At 48.2% G+C, this 19,278-nt stretch overlaps 2 annotated features.

The window, feature by feature from the left end:
- Nucleotides 4,126-4,904: an enhancer, noted in NCBI's record as "H3K4me1 hESC enhancer chr11:67297117-67297895 (GRCh37/hg19 assembly coordinates)". NCBI's record gives its function as "activates a minimal SCP1, AML or CMV promoter by ChIP-STARR-seq in primed H9 embryonic stem cells {active_cell/tissue: H9 hESC(primed)}" and the evidence as "EXISTENCE:reporter gene assay evidence [ECO:0000049][PMID:30033119]".
- Nucleotides 4,905-5,682: an enhancer, noted in NCBI's record as "H3K4me1 hESC enhancer chr11:67297896-67298673 (GRCh37/hg19 assembly coordinates)". NCBI's record gives its function as "activates a minimal SCP1, AML or CMV promoter by ChIP-STARR-seq in primed H9 embryonic stem cells {active_cell/tissue: H9 hESC(primed)}" and the evidence as "EXISTENCE:reporter gene assay evidence [ECO:0000049][PMID:30033119]".

The raw sequence follows: 19,278 nt of genomic DNA on the forward strand, positions 1-19,278 counted from the left end.
CCACTAGGTGCTGCCACCTGAGCTGGTGGCTCTGGCCTCTCTCAGCCACATGCGGCCATCTATTCATGTATTCCCTCAGCAAACAGCTGAGGCTGGCTGGGCCAGCTTCTGGGGCTATGTGACAGACCCCATCTGTCCAGAGAAGCCCACTCTCAGGCATGTCTAACCAGGAAAAGAGCCACCAGACAGTCTCCAAGTACTTGGGGTCCTTGGCCCAGGCATCAGGGAGGCTTCATGGAGGAGGTGAGGGGATAAGGCAATGCTGCAGGCATTGCCTATCAATGTTTAACCTGTGCCTGGCCCTGGGAGAGAGCCAGGGTCCCTGGCACGGATCAGCCTTGAACTTGGAGTGCCCCAGGAGCTGGAACCTGGCAGGTGGGTTGGATGGAGGCCCTTGGGAGGGAGGAAGGGGCTAGTGGCCTCTGGAGAGGGTATAGGTGGCAGGAGGTCAGAGAAAATTTTTGAGAGGCTGAATCTGCAGCAAACGTTTGTCCGGCCCCTGCTCTGTACCTTCCTGGGTGCTGGAACTAGTCCCTACATCCTGGAACCTTTCACCTGCTGGGAGATGCCTATTCAGCAAACCAGAATGACAGTGGCCAGGGAAGTGCAGGAAGGGCCAAGGTTCTCAGGAGGGAGGACTTGGCCGGGCGTGGTGGCTCACGCCTGTAATCCCAACACCATGGGAGGCCAAGGCAGGCGCATCATTTGAGGTCAGGAATTTGAGATCATCCTGGCCAACATGGCAAAACCCCATCTCTACTAAAAATACAAAAATTAGCTGGCGTGGTGGCGCATGCCTGTAATACCAGCTACTCGGGAGGCTGGGGTATGAGAATCACTTGAACCTGGGAGGTGGAGGTTGCAGTGAGCCGAGATCGCCCCACTGCACTCCAGCCTGGGTGACAGACTGAGACTCTGTCTTGAAAGAAAGAAAGAAAAAAAAAAAAAAGAGGGAGGGCCTTGCTTGATGGGGTTGAGGAACTGACATGCTAGCCAAGAGCAGAGGATGATGGGAATGGCTGAGCAAAGGGAGGGGGTGGCCTCACAGACAGAGGAAAGCCTCCACATCTGAGGACAGGCCGGGGTTGAGAAGTGAGTGGAAAGGCTGGTTGTGATCATTCCCATTGCTTCAGCCTTCAGTGTCCTTCAGTCCCACCTCTGCACATGGAGAGCAGGAGCGGCCTGGTTTCCCAGGCGGTAACGTCTCTGAAAACATTCATCGGAGACAGAAATTCTCCTCTGCAAGACCACAGAAAGGGCCGGCAGGCCTAGGTTCCCCCATGCACACACCGTGTCACCCTGGGAAAGGTATGTCACCTCTTTGAGCCTCAGTTTCGTCATCTGAAAAGTGGAGGTTGACCTAGCATCTGCCTCCCAGTGCCATTGTGGAAATTAGATGACAGGACCTGGCAGGTTCCTGGCACATAGGAAGGTGCAGAACGTGGTGGGCACCACACGTGATGAATGGTCTAAAGAACCATCTTTGAAAGTGGAAAATGGTGAGAAATGTATGTCCCAAAGTATAATCCAAAACAGTGGGGTCTGTAACCACTCAGAGTATAGGGGGTAAAAAAGTTTTCAGTCAGGGAGCAAAGGCCTTGTGTCTAAGTGGAGGAGAAAGCCTGGCTTGGAGATCCCCCTGCTTGTGTTCAATCAGCAGCATCCTGGAGCTCTCATCTTGGTGCCCTCAACTTGCCCAGCCTGACTTAGCCAAGCTGGGGTCCTGGCTCCAGTGTCCAGGATGGGTGGATCAGGGGTTTGACTAATGGGTAGACAGAGGGAAGGATGGGTAGAAGGATGGTTGGTTGGGTAAAATGGGTGGTTGGATGGATGGGTGGATAATTTGATGAACTGGTGTTTAAATGGACAGATGGATGGATAGATGAATGGATGGACCGGAGGATGGATAGTTGGGTTAGTAGATGAGAAGTTGGATGGATGGACAGGTGAATGGCTGGCTGGCTGGAAGGATGGGTAGGTGATTTGATGGGCTGGTGGTGCAATGATTGGTAAATGGATGGATGGATGATTGCATAGATAGTTGGTTGGGTAGAGGGTTGGATAGATGGATGGGTGAATGGAAGATGGATGTATAGACAGGTGGCCGACGATCATATGGGTAAATGGGTAGTTGGATGAATAGGTGGACAAATGGATAGATGAATGTCTTGATGGACTGGCTATTGAATATTTGATTGATGGATTGATGGATGATTGGGTAGATGAGGGTTTAGATGGATAGAGAGATAGATGGAAGTGGATAGATGGCTGGGAGGATGGACTGCTGGTGAAGGTCGTGTGTGTGTGTGTGTGTGTGTGTATGTGTGTTTTGAGACAGGATCTCACTCTGTCACCCAGGCTGGAGTGCAGTGGTACAATCGTGGCTCATGGCTTACTACAGCCTTGACCTCCTGGGCTCAAGCAATCTTTCTCTCAGACTTCTGAGTAGCTGGCACTATAGGCATGTGGCACCATGCCCAGCCATTTTATTTATTTATTGCAGAGATGACATCTTGTTATGCTTCCCAGGCTAGTCTTGAATTCCTGGCCTCAAGCAATCCTCCTGCCTTGGCCTCCCAAAGTGTTGAGATTACAGGCATGAGCCATGGCTCCCAACAAAGGTCCTATATTCTTCATTGAAAGACTTCGTTAGGGTACAGACTATATCCTGCCTATTTTGGTGTCTCCCATGGTGTCTAGCCCATTCATTGCCTGGTACATACTAATCAATGCATGAATGAAGACTTGTGTCTGTCTATCTCCCTCCACACTTTACTGTGATTCCTCTAATGGCAAAGACGATGGCTCCCTCTCCCCTGTTTTCCCCACAAGTTGAATCTAGAACTTGGTACCTGGTAAGCACCCCAAATAGAACCATGTTGAGAATCTACTTCGTAACCACCAGGATAAGGTAAAAAAGACGGACACTGACCACTGTGGGTAAGGATGTGGAGAAATTGGAACCCTCAGACTCTGCTGATGGGATTGTAAAATGGTGCAGCCACTTTGGAAAGGAATTTGGCAATTCCTCAAAATGGGTTATCACATGACTCAGCAATTCCACTCCCAGGTATATAGTCAAGGGAACCAAAAACATAAGTTTGGGGCCAGGCAAACATAAGTTTGGCTCTTGCCTGTGATCCCAGCACTTTGGGAGGCCAAGGCAGGAGGATCACTTGAGGCCAGGAGTTCAATGCCAGCTTGGGCAATAAAGTGAGACCCCGTCTTTACAATAAATATAAAAATTAGCCGGGCACAGTGATGATTGCTTATAGTCCCAGCTACTCAGGAGCTGTACTCCAGCCTGAGTGATAGAGCAAGACACTGTCCCTAAAAAAACAAAACAAAACAAAGAAACTCCTATAAGTCCGCACAAAAACTTCTACATAAATGTTCCTAAAAGCATTATTCATAGTAGACCAAAAAGTGAAACAACCTAAATGTCCATCAACTATGAATGAGTAAAGTCTGGGCATGGTGGCTCACGTCTGTAATCCCAGCACTTTGGGAGACGGAGGGTGGATAGCCTGAGGTCAGGGGTTCCAGACCAGCCTGACCAATATCGTGAAACCCCATCTCTACTAAAAATACAAAAATTAGCCGGGCATGGTGGCATGCACCTGTAGTCCCAGCTACTTGGGAGGCTGAGGCAGGAGAATAGCTTGAACCCAGGAGGCGGAGGTTGCAGTGAGCCGAGATCGCGCCACTACACTCCAGCCTAGGAGACAGAGTGAGACTCTGTTTCAAAAACAAAAAACAAAACAAAACAAAAACCAAAAAACAAACTATGAATGAGTAAACAAGGGTGGTCTATTACTACAATGGAATATTACTTGGCCATAAAAAGAAATGAAGTGCTAACACATTCTACAGCATAGATGAACCTTGAAAATATTATGCTAAGTGACAGATACAAAAGGACAAATACTGTATGATTCCACTTATGTGAAATGTCCAGCATAGGCAAATCCATAGTGACAGAAAGTAGATTAGTGGTTGCCATGCGCTGGGGGGAGGAAGAAAGAGGAGTGACTGCTAATGGGCATGGGGTGTCCTTTCGGCATGATGAACATGTTCTGGAATTAGATAGGGTAATGATTGCGCAACACCGAATATATGAAAAACCACAGAATGCAGGCTTTGCAAGGGTGAATCTTATGTAACAATAAAGCTGTTTAGGCTGGACGCAGTGGTTTACGGCTGTAATCCCAGCACTTTGGAAGGCCAGGGTGGGCGGATGGTTTGAGCTCAGGAGTTCAAGACCATCGTGGGCAACATGGCTGGCGAAACCCCGTCTCTACTAAAAATACAAAAATTAGCTGGGCATGGTAGCATGTGCCTGTAGCCCCAGCTACTCGGGTGGCTGAGGTGGGAGGATCGCTTGAGCCCAGGAGATCAAGGCTGCAGTGAGCCAAGATCATGCCACTGAACCCCAGCTTGGGTGACAGTGCAAGACCTGGTCTCAAAACAAAACAAACTGTTTATGTACACTTTAAAACCCACCAAAAAGGCGTGATGTGCACATGCAATGGAGGTGGGGGATGGGCCGGGAAAAGCTGTGCTGCTGGGAGCCGTGGCCCCAGGGTAGCCACGGAGCTAGACCACAGGGAAGGCCCATGGAGCCAGAGGGCTGTGGGTAAAAGCAGCCAACCGGAACACCACAGCACCGTGGCGGCAAGTCATCTGGAGGTTCAGCCCGTCCGGTGGCGGGAGACAGGCAGTCTGCTGGACAACAAGGGGTCCTCTCACCCTCTCAGATCTGTGATGCTTCTGCACAAAGCAGGAGCGGGTGCTCCAGGCCAGAGCAGGTTCCTCTGAGCCTTGGTGTCCTCATCTGTATAATGGGAACAGGACTCCCTCCCTCCCAGATTGCGTGGAGATGAAATGAGATCATTTCTATGAAAGCTCTTTGTAAGCTGCTACATGCTGGGCAGATGTTCCTCCAGCTGTGAGTCAGGGATGAGATCCCAATCCTGGTGCCACCTCCTCCTCCTCCCCCTAGGCCTAGGCAGCTGTGAGCTCAAATGAGGAGGAGGGGAAGCGCATCCAACCCTGAGCGCTCGGTGCAGGGGGTGCCCCTGATCAGTGCGATGTTTTTAATTTTTGCCCAGGCTTTGGGTGGGCGGTTCTGCACCTGGGAAGGACACCTTCCTCCCTCCTTATGGCTCTGAGCCTTCCGGGGGAGGGGCAGCCAGGAGGAGACCCGGACTGGGGGCCAGGTGAGCTTGCAAGGAGGCAGCACTGGGCTCGGCCTGGTGAGACGCAGCCCTCTGGGGTCCAGGAAGCTCTGCCCATCCCAGCCCCTGGCCAGCCGCATTTGAAGGCTGCATTTGCCTTCATACTCAGTCAAGAAATGGTTTGCAGACTATGTGGGGGAGAAAAAATAATCTTTTCCTCAACATTCATGAGTTGTTAGTTGGAATGGACCCCTGTAACAGTAGAACAAAAGAAAAACCTACAATCACGCAGGAGAAACCTCAATGAAAAGTAACTCCAAGCAGTGATGAGATTTCACTCACATGGTGTCTTCAACAAAGAGCAATACATTTTAGAGAAATGACAGGAAAAAAAAAGCAGCTTTAGGCTTACAAGAGCGACTACTGTGGGAAGGTAAATCTATGGCAAGAAACTAATGGAGGGAGGTTTATTTGCAGGTTCTGAAAGCAGACAAGGAGGGTCTCCAGGGATTATAGGAATTATAGGAATTTTATCAACTTACATAATTGCCTGTTTTATAGCCTGCTGTCCTGCAGCCTGTTTTTCCCCAAACCCTGTGTGGAAAGTGGTGGTGACCACAAGGTGTTGTTGGTAGGAAACAGCTTCTGACAGACCCCAGCAACTTACAGAAAGTGAACTTTCTTCATTACCATGCTAAAGTCTCCAGCCCAGGAGCTATAGCTTCATGACCATAACATGCGGCCCATGTGCTGATGTTAGGGAGCCTAGGAAAGCCAGGGTGACACCATTTTTAAATCATGTCCATTTTGGTATTTTATTTATTTATTTAGAGACGGAGTCTTGCTCTGTTGCCCAGGCTGGAGTGCAGTGGCATGATCTTGGCTCACTGCAACCTCTGCCTCCCAGGTTCAAGAGATTCTTCTGCCTCAGCCTCCCGAGTAGCTGGGATTACAGGTGCCCGCCACCATGCCTGACTAATTTTTGTATTTTTAGTAGAGATGGGGTTTCACCATGGCAAGGCTGGTCTCGAACTCTTGACCTGAAGTGATCTGCCTGCCTTGGCCTCCCAAAGTGCTGGGATTACTGGCATGAGCGACTGTGCTGGCCGTTTTTGTTTTTAAATACAGACGGGGTCTCACTGTGTTGCCCAGGCTGGTCTCCAACTTCTGGGCTCAAGCAATTCTCCTGCCTTAGCCTTCCAAAGTGAAATCAAGACTATCAAGACATTGGCTGAGCACAGTGGCTCACACCTATAATCCCAGCACTTTGGGATAAACGTGCTTTGATAAAATAACACTTTAATAAAATGTCAAGGATAGTTTTCTTTAAATCAAGAAAATAATAATTTTTGTCATTCTGTCAGCCCATCTGCACGTAGGGACAGCTTAGTTTAGTCTTTGCATAGACAAGACATATATATATATATATATATATATATATATATATATAAAACTTAAAACAAAGACGGTGCACTCTTCCTGTTGCTTTCTGAGGACACCCTACCCTGTAATGGAGTAGCTTTCAATAAACTCTCTCTTCTCACTGCACTCTTTGACTCATCTTGAATTCCTTCCTGTGTGAGATCCAAGAACCCTCTCTTGGGATCTGGATTGGGACCCCTTTTTCTGGTAGCATCTTCTGGTGACCACCACTAAGGGACTGATATGGTTTGGCTGTGTCCCTACCCAAATCTCATCTTGAATTGTAGTTCCTATAATCCCCATATGTCATGGGAGGTTCCCGGTGGGAGGTAATTGAATCATGGGGGCAGTTATCTTCATGTTGTTCTCATGATTGTGAGTGAGTTCTCACAAGTCTGATGGTTTTATAAGGGACTTTTCCCCTTTTTGCTTGGCACTTCTCCTTGCTGCCACCACGTGAAGAAGGACATGTTTGCCTCCCCTTCCACCATGATTGTAGGTCTCCTGAGGCCTCTCAAGCCATGCAGAACTGTGAGTCAATTAAACCTCTTTCCTTTATTAATTACCCAGTCTCAGGTATGTCTTTATTAGCAGTGTGAGAACAGACAAGACCCTATGCCAAGGAAATTCAGTCTGTGCAGCACTAATTGGCCACCTCTGGAAAGTGGGATCTGTCTTGGTGTCATATTAGGCAAGGCTAATATTTGGGTTAGAGTTCTGGCCCATGGGGTGGGAGTCCCTGCTTAAGGGGTTAGAGTTCCTGGGGCATAATAAAAATAGAAGGAGCCCTGCAAGACATTTGCCAGTGTGTGCTGTGAACTAATCTACCTTGTCCCCTTTGCTGGGTGTGGGAAAGCTACAGTTCTTGTCATTTCCCAGTTGTCACCTTTACTTTACTGTGGCCTTATGGCAGCCCTGTATGGCTGGCCCACAGGTTCACTCACCTCTGATTACCACTTCCAAAGCTATTTCTCTCTTTTATTTTCTGCTTGCTTTGAATCTGCTATTATTAGGCTACTGGTGTTGAGATAAAACTTGCTGTTCAAGGTTACGTGGAGATTTTGTTCTGGCTAAAATGTAAACATGAGAAATGCCTTTGAATCTGAAGAAAAAAAAAAGGCGAAAGGGGCTTTTTGAAAACCAAACTTCCATGAAGTCTTCTTTACCCAAAACGTTGGTTCACAGCTTTCTTTGGATGGCTTGTCAGATGTCTGGGTCATTCTCAGTTAAGAAAAGTTTATGATATGGGAAAATATGTTTCACAGTTGTAGAATGGTTTTCTCTGTAAAATGCTAACATATGACAAACAGTTCAGGGTTTCTTGCTTCCTAAGTTCTCGGAGTCATGTATGGGTGAGTGTCTTTGTTGTCCCTTCCCTTTCCTTTGTTGTCTTTTTTCATGCTCAGTCTGCTGAGCCCCAGGGTACACAGGGATGCTCATGTTCCTTTATATTCCCTTGGGACTGGGGGTTACAGGCCCCCACTCAGAGCTGTTGGATCCTGTGGGCTATGCCTGCCAGGGAGCCTGGAGTTGTGGGGTCCTCTGGCTTGGGTGCCACCCTGTTGCATGGGGCTTTTTGGCTTTTATGGGTCCAGGGCTGCCATGTTGCCCTGTCAGATAAACCGAGGCTCAGAGGGATGTGTGCCAGCACCTACTGATTCTCCATCCCCCTTGTCCCCTTTTTTGGCCACATGTTTGCTGTCTGTGCCTCACTAGTGACACATGTTGCCCTGCACTTCCATGCCCTGAAGCTTACACCTAGCATTTCCCTTCTGGTCTTGATGATTTTCGTTCTTTGGGTTGTTTAATTTGGCATATCTCTGGGTGGCATTGGAGGGCAAAAGCCTCCCAGGAACTAGTCTTATTGAGAAAAGAGTAATTTTTTCCAATTCAGAAGTTATCTAAAAGTCAATTATGGCCTTGAAAATTACTTGTTAAACAAGGTAGAAAGGAACAGTAAGTAGGGGAGAGAGAGGTGTGAAGAAAGTTATGGACATGCAGACGTATTTTTGGTAAGGAAGGTTATAAAGAAAAGAGAATAATTTTGTATGAAAAAGGATCTTGTGTGGTAAATTTTTGTCCTAAAGTAAAATGACTGATTATTTAGGAGGTTTAGGACAAGGCAGAAAGTCGAAGCATGTTGTAGATGGTCTGTGTAAGTCATGATAAGCTTTGGGAAGGGGAATTTATGAAAGTATTTTGGATGTCACTAAGTCGATTATAATTAAAAGGAAATCATTTATAATAGTCCAAGATTGGTCCCCTACGTTACAACAAGGTTTTTTTTTTTAAAAAAACTATTGCTTAGCTCTTAATAAAATTGCAAGATATTTTACTTGTATTTTATAATCTATTTCTTTTGAAAACTTCTCAGAATCATATCTCAGAAGTTCAACTTTTGCTATGTCTTGTTTTTCTCTCCTTGAGAAGGATAACTTGATTCTGTACTCTTGGCTTTTCTTGATATATCTAAGTTTCTAATGTAATCAGAAAACTTCTCACACTGTTTCTAAGAGTCAGGTATTCCCTTGCTATATGCATAGCTTTGAACACACTCTTCTTGTGTTTGGTTAAATTCAAACACTTTTTTCATTGAGTTTGAATTCCAAGTTATGTAAATGGGCTTCCCAGAAGGAGAAGCAGTCACTGCAGAAGGGTTTTCTTTGCTTTTTTGTAGCTGGCTTAAGAAACAAGATTTTGGCTGGGCACGGTGGCTCACACCTGTAACCCAGCACTTTGGGAGGCTGAGATGGGTGGATCATGAGGTCAGGGGTTTGAGGCCAGCCTAGCCAATATGGTGAACCCCTGTCTCTACTAAAAATACAAAAAATTAGTTGGGCATTGTGGTGCATACCTGTAGTTCCAGCTACTTGGGAGGCTGAGGCAGAAGAATCACTTGAACTTGGGAGGCAGAAGTTGCAGTGAGCTGAGATTGCACCACCGCACTGTAGCCTGGGTAACAGAGTGAGACTCCATCTCAAAAAAAACAAACAAAAAAAAAACAAAAAAAACCCAAGATTTTATAATTGCTATGCTGTCTTTATTAGGTTTTGGATTGCTAAAAAAACCCCTAAGATTTAAAAGGTTTTAGGTTTTATCCACTCTGTAATGGAGTGGTTACATGGTAGTTTTTTTTTTTTTTTTTTTTTTTTAGACAGAGTTTTGCTCTTGTTGCCCAGGCTGGAGTGCAAGGGTGCGATCTCGGCTCACCACGACCTCTGCCTCCCAGGTTCCAGCAATTCTCCTGCCTCAGCTTCCCAAGTAGCTGGGATTACAGGCATGCACCACCATGCCTGGCTAATTTTTTGTATTTTTAGTAGAGACAGGGTTTCTCCATGTTGGTCAGGCTGGTCTCAAACTCCTGACCTCAGGTGATCTGCCCACCTTGGCCTCCCAAAGTGCTGGGATTATAGGCATGAGCCACCATGCCCAGCCAGTTACATGGTTTTTAATTATCACTTTGGTTAAATGAGTAACTATTTTGCAATGACCTGTGCTTCTGTTTTGATCAAATGTTTTAATCTTTTAACATCTTTAACAAACATCCTCAAAATCAAAATCCTGTTAAGTCTCTAACTTAGTTTTATTGCTGGGGCTTACTAAAGCTATAAAAGTTAATTGCTGCAAGGTTGTAGAATTTTTTTTACACCTTCTAGTTAGACCATGAAGACCAGTATCACCACCTTCAGCCCCTTGGAGAAGGTCCTTATCAGGTGCTATTGACTAATCCTCGTACTGTTAAATTACAGGGCTTTGACTTCTGGGTATCCACATCTCATCTGAAAAAGGCATCAACTCCTGCCAGTATCTGATGCCAAACTCAAGTTAACCAAAGCCTTGTCTTTAGAACTGGGCAAAAGTGACAAAGTAAACTGTTCTCATGAGACACAGGAACAGGCCTGTATTCAAAAACATTAAGATCCATTTAATAATTTTTCCTCTATCTGAAATAATCTAATTTATTCTATGCCTTGATGCTAAATAATTTAAATGTTTGGCTACTTGTGAACTTCCTTTCCTGCCCTGCTCAAAACTAGGTAGAGCTGGCTGGGTGTGGTGGCTCACGCCTGTAATCCCAGCACTTTGGGAGGCCGAGATGGGAAGATCACTTGAGGCCAGGAGTTCGAGACCAGCCTGGTCAATACTGTGAGACCCCCATCTCATTAAAAAACAAAAAACAACTAGGTATGGCTTATGACCTTTTGTTTAAAATGTTGCTAATTACTTATATTTTGTTTTACCTCCAGAATTTGAAATGATTCAATCCCTCCAGGCCCAGAGACTATCATATGAGATTGTAAGAGCTGATTTTGAGGGATAAAATTAGCTCAGACCCTCCAAATCAAAGATGGAACCTTCAGGGAATCACTAGCTGGGTATACCTGTCCAAGATTAAACTTGATTTTTTTGTTGTTTGTTTGTTTGTTTTTCTGGAGTTTTGCTTTTGTTGCCCAGGCTGGAGTGCAATGGCATAATCTCATCTCACTGCAACGTGAAGCTAATCAGGAACTAGTTCTTGGCTCACTGAAGTTAATCAAAGATTAAACTTCAGGGAATCACTAGCTGGGTACACCTGTCCAAGATTAAACCTGTTATTTTTCTTTTGTTTTTTTTTTTATCCTGGTGATGGAGTTTCGCTTTTGTTGCCCAGGCTGGAGTGCAATGGCACAATCTTGGCTCACTGCAACCTCTGCCTCCTGTGTTCAAGTGATTCTCCTGCCTCAGCCTCCTGAGTAGCTGGGATTACAGGTGTGTACCACCTGTAAAGATGGGCACACAGATGCCTAAGCAGCTAATAAAACGCTTGTGTTTTGTATAACTAATTGCTACAAGCCAAGATTACAATGGCTCAATGCATAGAATTTATAGATAAGTTAATTTTATAACCTTGCATTTTGGCTTTTGAGTTTTGGCTCTTATGTTGCTTAAAGGGGGTCCTAAAGCTGATGAATGCCTGCCTACCTCCATTCCCACCTGACCTAGAATGTTTAATTGACTATACAACTTTTGACTCTAAGTCCCTTGGCCATAAAGTCCCACCAAGGGACATAATGGACCCAGGACAGGTAGCACACCACCCTGGCATCAATATGGGACAAAATAAAAGCTAGGCCAGGCCGGGTGTGGTAGCTCACACCTGTAATCCCAGCACTTTGGGAGGCCGAGGCAGGCAGATCACCTGAGGTCAGGAGTTCAAGATCAGCCTGGCCAACATGGTGAAACCATGTCTGCACTAAAAATACAAAAATTGGCCAGACATGGTGGCGTGCACCTGTAATCCCAGCTACTAGGAAGGCTGAGGCAGGAGAATTGCTTGAACCCGGGAGGTGGAGGTTGCAGTGAGCCAAGATCGCACCATTGCACTCCAGCCTTGGTGACAGAGCATGACTCTGTCTTAAAAATAAATAAATAATAAATAATAAAAGCTTGGCTATTGATACTGCCTCTGGCATACCTTGACAAAAAAGGGGATATATCCACTAAAGAAATAAATAAAACCCTAAACCTCTCAACAGAATGGACCCCTCTCTTGGTCAAAGGGAATTAAAAGAAACCTTTAAAAATGTAAAAATGGCCAGGTGTGGTGGCTCGCGCCTGTAATCCCAGCACTTTGAGAGGCCGAGGCAGGCGGATCACAAGGTCAGGAGATTGAGACCATCCTGGCTAACACGGTGAAACCCCATCTCTACTAAAAATACAAAAACAAAATAAGCTGGGTGTGGTGGTGGGTGCCTGTAGTCCCAGCTACTCGGCAGGCTGAGGCAGGAGAATGGCGTGAACCCAGGAGGTGGAGCTTGCAGTGAGCCGAGATTGCACCACTGCACTCCAGCCTGGGTGACAGAGCAAGACTCCATCTAAAAAAAACAAAACAAACAAACAAACAAAAAACAAACAAAACAAAACAAAAAAAACCTAGCAAGGCACTTTCCACACTAGTCACGACCCACGGTTCTAAGATGCTTACAGCTAAGGAATCGGCTTGGTACTGCCTGCAAGGACACATTCCTGCAGCCACAGAAAGTTCGACGTCCCAATACCCGTAACAACATATGCTTTCAAGATAATTACAGTTATGCTTTGATGCACTCACACACTAAAATGTCCAGGATAGTTTTCTTTAAATCAATAAAATAATAAATTTTGTCATGCTGTCAGCCCACTCACACATAGGCACAACTTAGTTTAGTCTTTGCATAGATAAGAATCCTGTATAAGAAGAACTTAAAACAAATATGGTGCATCCCTCCTCTTGCTTTCTGAGGACGCCCTACTCTGTAATGGAGTGGCTTTCAATAAGCTCTCTCTTCTCACTGCACCCTGTGACTCGCCTTGAATTCCTCTCTGCACGAGGTCCAAGAACCCTCTCTTGGGATCTGGATCTGGATCGCTTTTTCTGGGAACACTGGATTAATGACTCACTGCGTCTGCGCAACTGGGACCTCTCCTCTGCATGCCATCATGCCCCCTCTCCCCTCTCCATCACCCCATAAAACCCTCCTGTCACTTTCCTGTGGGGAGATGCTGCTTTCCAGAATCCTCTCAGTGTTCTCCTTACTTATACCAAGTAATAAAACCCTTGTTCATCTAAACCTGTTTTTTTTTTTTTTTTTTTTTTGAGACGGAGTCTGCTCTGTTGCCCAGGCTGGAGTGCAGTGGTGCAATCTCGGCTCACTGCAAGCTCCACCTCCTGGGTTCACACCATTCTCTTGCCTCAGCCTCCCGAGTAGCTGGGACTACAGGAGCCTGCCACTACGCCCGGCTAATTTTTTTGTATTTTTAGGCAGCAAAGACCACTGGTGGACACAGTGAATGACGGGGCGGAGGACCATCGTGGGCAGGCGCTGCAGCTGCCTTATCCACCAGGGCTCTGAGTGAGCCTGGGTGCCGGCTGGTGCTCTGGGACAATGTGGTCAGGGACAGGAGGTCACCCTGGTCAGTCTCACCACACACCTCCAACTGGAATCAGTCCTGTTCACAGGAGGTGGGCAAAGCCCAGTGTGTTCAGGAGCTGCCAGGCACCTGGAGCCTTTTGAGACCCTCTGACCCAGAACCAGGGATGACAGGCCTTCATTGTGGGCAACAAGGTGAGCGCTGGCTCCAGCCTCTCCCAGATCATTGTAGGTCCATTTCTTAGAAGGGCAAACTGAGGCCCAGGGTGGGCCAGTTCACTGCAGCAGAGACAGCCAGGGTTCTGGCTCCTGAAGCTGCTCTCTCCTGACCCAGCTCAAGCTCCCTCACACTCCCTGCCCTGCAGGTCTCCTTCACCGACCACAACCTGCTGGACTTGCTGCTGGCCCACCAGGTCCTGGTGAGGCAGGAGAATAGGGTGTGGAGGCAGGGAACCTAAGGCTGTTTCATGCCAACTTCCTAGAACTAAATTGAAAGGAAAACCCTAACTTTCCACACCTAAGTAACAAAAGGACCAGAGGCTACTCCATTTGACCTTTTCTGCACAGCAGATGCGAAATTGGCTGTCCCCAACAAATCAGACTAGTTGTGGGTGGAGTCTTCGTTTGCAACTTGGTAATTTCACTCCAGCCTATGAATGGTTGCTGTCCACAAACAATCAGACTGATTGTGGGTGGAGTCTTCGTTTGCATAGAAGCATAACTTTGTAACTTCACCCTAGCAAACATCTGATCCAATCAGATGTTGGCACAGGAGTGTGACCTTTGTAAGTTCACTTCAGCCTCTGATTGGCTGTTTTCCGCAACCAATCAGATTGCAGGCTACCACTTCATTTACATGAGGTGAGCATGAAGTGACCAATGGGAAACTTCTAGGGGGTATTTGGACCCAAGAAGATTCTGTATCCAGGCCCTTGAGCTGCTGCTGGGCCCACTCCCACACTGTGGAGTGTACTTTCGTTTTCGATAAATCCCTGCTTTTAGGCCGGGTGTGGTGGCTCACACCTGTAATCCCAGCACTCTGGGAGGCCGAGGTGGGTGGATCACCTGAGGTCAGGAGTTCAAGACCAGCCTGGCCAACATGGTGAAACCCTGTCTCTACTGAAAATACAAAAAAAAAAAAAAAAAAAAAAAATTAGCTGAGTGTGGTGGCACACGCCTATGATCCCAGCTACTTGGGAGGCTGAAGCACAAGAATCACTTGAACTTGGGAGGCAGAGGTTGCAGTTAGCAGAGATCACACCACTGCACTCCAGCCTGGGTGACAGAGCAAGACTCCGTCTCAAAAAAAACAAAAAACAAAAAACTGCTTTCATTCTTTTGTTGCTTCATTCTTTCTTTGCTTTGCTGGGTGTTTTGTCCAATTCTTGGTTCAAAACACCATGAACCTGGACAACTTGCAGTCACAACCCTCTACCAGGGACACTGGTGCCCGGCTATCTGGGTGCCCTCCTCCTGCTCTCAGCCTACGTGGCACGCCTCAGCGCCCAGCCTAAGCTCGAGGCCTCCCTGGCTTCCCCTGAGTATGGGAACGACCCCATCTTTGGAGGCTACAAGATGTGAGCCCACTTGGCCTCCCCATGGGAGCAGGGTTGCCCTTGGGAATCAATAAAAGCAATGAGAGGAAAGCTGTGCTGAGGTCATTGAGGGGCTGGGTGGGCATAAGGGACCTTCTACCCCATCCCAGGCTGCTGGGAATGACCCAGGCATAGGCAGGACCAGAGGCTACAGATGACCCTCCCAGGGGTTGAGTGGACAGGGGCGCTGGTGACCTTGGCAGAGGCCTTGTCTGCTGGATGAAGGAGTGGGAGTTGACTCCCAGGGCACTAGGGAGCCACTGCAGGCTTTTGAACAGGGATGGTGACTTTTAGGAATCAGAGCCTGTGATAGCTCAGGAAGCCTTGGGCACCACCTAACTCAACACCTAATAGACAGGGAAACTGAGGCCCAGAGAGAGGACTGGACTGCCTAGGTTCACTAAGCAAGTGGGTAGATGGGTCGAGTTGGTGTCCTGGGTGCTAAGCTCCCAGGTTGGAGGCCTGGCTGCCCCTCAAAGGAGCGTTTGCCTGACTGAGATGCTTAGCAGAGGCTCCATGGGGAGGGGTCTTATGCACCTTGGGTTTGAGGGGCTGACTGGCAGTTCTGTTTCTGGTGAAGGAGAGCTGACCCCTTTTGGGAGGCATGGTCCAGGAACGACCCCCCCAGTCCCCAAGAGGAAAGTGCTGCACACCCATCATCTCAGTGAAATCCCGAAGCTTCCACAGCCCAGAAGACAGACTGTTGCCTGAGGGGGGAGCTGTTCCAGTGGGTCTTGTAACCCTGCCCCAAGGAGCCTGCCAGGCAGGGCCCAGGGCCTGCAGCCTGTGGCCTGTGAGCCTCCTCAGTGCCCCGAGCATTCAGGAGGGCGTGTTCAGGTTCCAGCCTCGCCTGGGCCAGGCCTTGGAGTATGCTTGGGATGCCCTGGTGCCTGAGGGCAGGCAGCCTTACCAGTGGCTTGGCATGGGAAGGGCTGGACTCCTTGGACCACAGTGGTTCACTGTGTAGGCAGGGAAGACAGTGGCCGTGGTAGGCCACAGAGCAGGCCTAGGGGACATTCGAGCATCCCGCAGGTTCCAGAGCAGCAGGAGGAGAGGAGTTGCTCTTTTCAAAGCTTCCCGCAGGAGTTGGATGCACCGGCTCACACTTGCAGTCCCAGCTACTCAGAGGCTGAGGTGGGAGGATTGCTTGAGCCCAGGAGTTAAAGACTGCAGTGAACTATGATTGCACCGCTAAACTCCAGCCTGGGCAAAAGAGCGAGACCCCATCTCTAAAAACATTTTTTATTTTATTTTTTGAGACAGTCTTACTCTATCACCCAGGCTGGAGTGCAGTGGCATGATCTCAGCTCACTGCAACCTCCACCTCCTGGATTCAAGTGATCCTCATGCCTCAGCCTCCCAAGTAGCTGGGATTACAGGCGCACGCCACCACACCTGGCTAATTTTTGCATTTTTAGAAGAGACGGGGTTTGGCCATGGTGGCCAGGCTGACCTCGAACTCCTGACCTCAAGTGATCCACCCGCCTTGGCCTCCCAAAATGCTGGAATTACAGGTGTGAGCCACTGTGACTGTATAAAAATATTTTTAAAAGAAAGCTTCCTTCAGACAATCACTTTCACACTCTTCAGGGTGACTGGGCTGGACATTTTGGCTGTGTAGCTCTGAGACTGCAAGAAGGTGGATGGAGAGGCTCCCTGTGGCCAGGAAAAGGGACTGGGCCCCTGTCTGGGTACCTCAGGACTGGCATGAAGCCACATGTGTGAGCTGGTGCTGCAAGGCGTGGGAGTGATCAGATGGTCATTGGTGAGAGGCTGGGAGCCCCTCTAGCTGTAAAGTTGACAGATGACACCCAGGGCATGTGGTCGGGACTCCCTAGCAGCATATGGGAGGGAGGAGGGTAAGCTTCCTCCAGGCAGTGCCCCAAGCACTTGACATCTATCAACTCATTTAATTGGCAGAAAAAATCCACCCCGTGGATGCTATTATTATCTCCATTTTATTTTTTTAATTTTATATTTTTTGAGACGGAGTCTTGCTCTGTCACCCAGGCTGGAGTGCAGTGGCGTGATCTTGGCTCACTGCAACCTCCTCCTGAATTCAAGCGATTCTCCTGCCTAGGCCTCCAGAGCAGCTGGAATTACAGGTGCCCACCACCACACCCGGCTAAGTTTTGTATTTTTAGTAGAGATGGGGTTTCACTATTTTGGCCAGGCTGGTCTCCAACTCATGACCTCAAGTGATCCGCCTGCTTTGGCCTCCCAAAGTACTTGGATTACAGGGGTGAGTTACCGTGCCCGACCCATTATCTCCATTTTAGAGATGAGGAAACAGAGACACAGAGAGGTAAAGTAACTGCCAAAGTTCACATAGCTGGTAAGAGGCTGACCCAGGAATTGAATTAAAGCTTTCTGGCTCCACGCCTGTGCTTGAATCACCTCTGCCACAGGTGGTGGCTCAAGCTACTGTTTGTTGTTGTTGTTGTTTGTTTGTTTTTTGTTTTGTCCTTAAATTCTGGCACAGAGTGACTGCAGGAGGCCAGTAACTCTGTTTACTCCCCTTCATTATACGGGGGACAGGAAGCCCAAGAGAAAGGCTCGGCTTCAGCCAATCAGGATGGGGGTGGGAGTGGGAGCGGCTTTGGTTTGAAGGTTGGAACATTTGGAACTAGTGGCTGGATTTGCTCCCCGGCTGGGGAGGGCGGCCATGCAGGTTACAGATAAAAAGCTGCTGTTCTCAGGAGGAGCCTCTGGCCCCGGCCAGCTGCTGTTCAGGAGCAGGCAGAAGGGGCAGATCCAGGGGGCTGGCATCTGTTCACCCAGGGGTTTGCCCTTTGGTAGTAGCCCTGGGACTGAGAGGTCTGGGGTACCAGCATGGGGAGGGAGGGCTAAGGGGTGTAGAGAGTGACCCCAGACCTCAAGGGCAAAACCTGAGGATGCTTGCAGGCCTTGGCATCAGGTCTCAGCCCACAGATCTGGTCCCCAGCTGCACCATCCGGGCAGGGCAGCTGCAGGAATTTGGCTCCATCCCTCCCTGCCTCTCCTCCTGCCTCCCCTGCTTGTTCCCTGCTTGGCCAAGGTCCCAGTTGGCTGTGGCTCAGGCTCGGGCTCCATTTCTCTCCACCCTCATAAGTGGCCTGAGAACCCTTCCTAGCCCTGCTTGGGGACCCTGCAACTAGATATTGGGGCTCATGGCTGCCTTTACCCAGCTGTGTGACCTTGGAAAAGTGGTCAGCCCTCTCTGGGCCTGTTTCTTTTTGTTTGTTTGTTTTGAGACAAGGTCTTGCTCTGCCGCCCAGGCTGAAATGTGGTGGTGCAATCATGGCTCACTACAGCTTGGACCTCCTGGACTTAAGTGATCCTCCTGCCTTAGCCTCTGGAGGAACTGGAACTACAGGTGTGCACCACCATGCTTGGCTATTTTTAAAATTTTTTGTAGAAAGCGGGGTGGGGGTCTCCCCGTGTTGCTCAGGCTGGTCTCGAACTCCTGGGCTCAAGTGATCCTCCTACCTCACCTTTTCAAAGTACTGGGATTATAGCTGTGAGTATCTGTGCATGTGGGCCTATTTCTTCCTCCAATAGCCCAACCCATCACAAAGTACCATCCTGTTACCAAATACCTCCTCCATGCCAGACACTTGGCGGGTCTTCAGACCCCCATTTTACTGATGAAAAAACTGAGGTCAGAACTGGAATTTGTACCCAGGAGGCTGATTACCAAGCCTTCATCCTGTCCCAAACAGCCTCAGAAAATACTCTCAAAAGTGCTCTGACTGGGCGCAGTGGCTCACGCCTGTAATCCCAGCACTTTGGGAGGCTGAGGCGGTGGATCACCAGAGGTCAGGAGTTCAAGACCAGCCTGGCCAACATGGTGAATCCTTGTCTCTACTAAAAAAAATACAAAAATTAGCGGGGTGTAGTGGCGGTTGCCTGTAATCCCAGCTACTCAGGAGGCTGAGGCAGGAGAATCACTTGAACCCGGGAGGTGGAGGTTGCAGTGAGCCGAGATCACATCACTGCATTGTAATCTAGCCTGGGTGACAGAGCAAGGCTCTGTCTCAAAAAAAAAAAAACTCTGGACGAATGAAGTGGCCGGAAGTAGTTATTTAAAAGGTTAATGTTAGTTGAATGTTAACTATCCTGACTGAAATTAAGTTGAAGCCCCAGGAATTTCAGAAGCAAAAGCACTCATGCACTCTTCTGGCCCATTTTGCAGTTTGCCTTCACAGCCAGCAC

The sequence above is a fragment of the Homo sapiens genome, chromosome 11 (assembly GCF_000001405.40).
Source record: "Homo sapiens chromosome 11, GRCh38.p14 Primary Assembly".
NCBI lineage: Eukaryota > Metazoa > Chordata > Mammalia > Primates > Hominidae > Homo > Homo sapiens.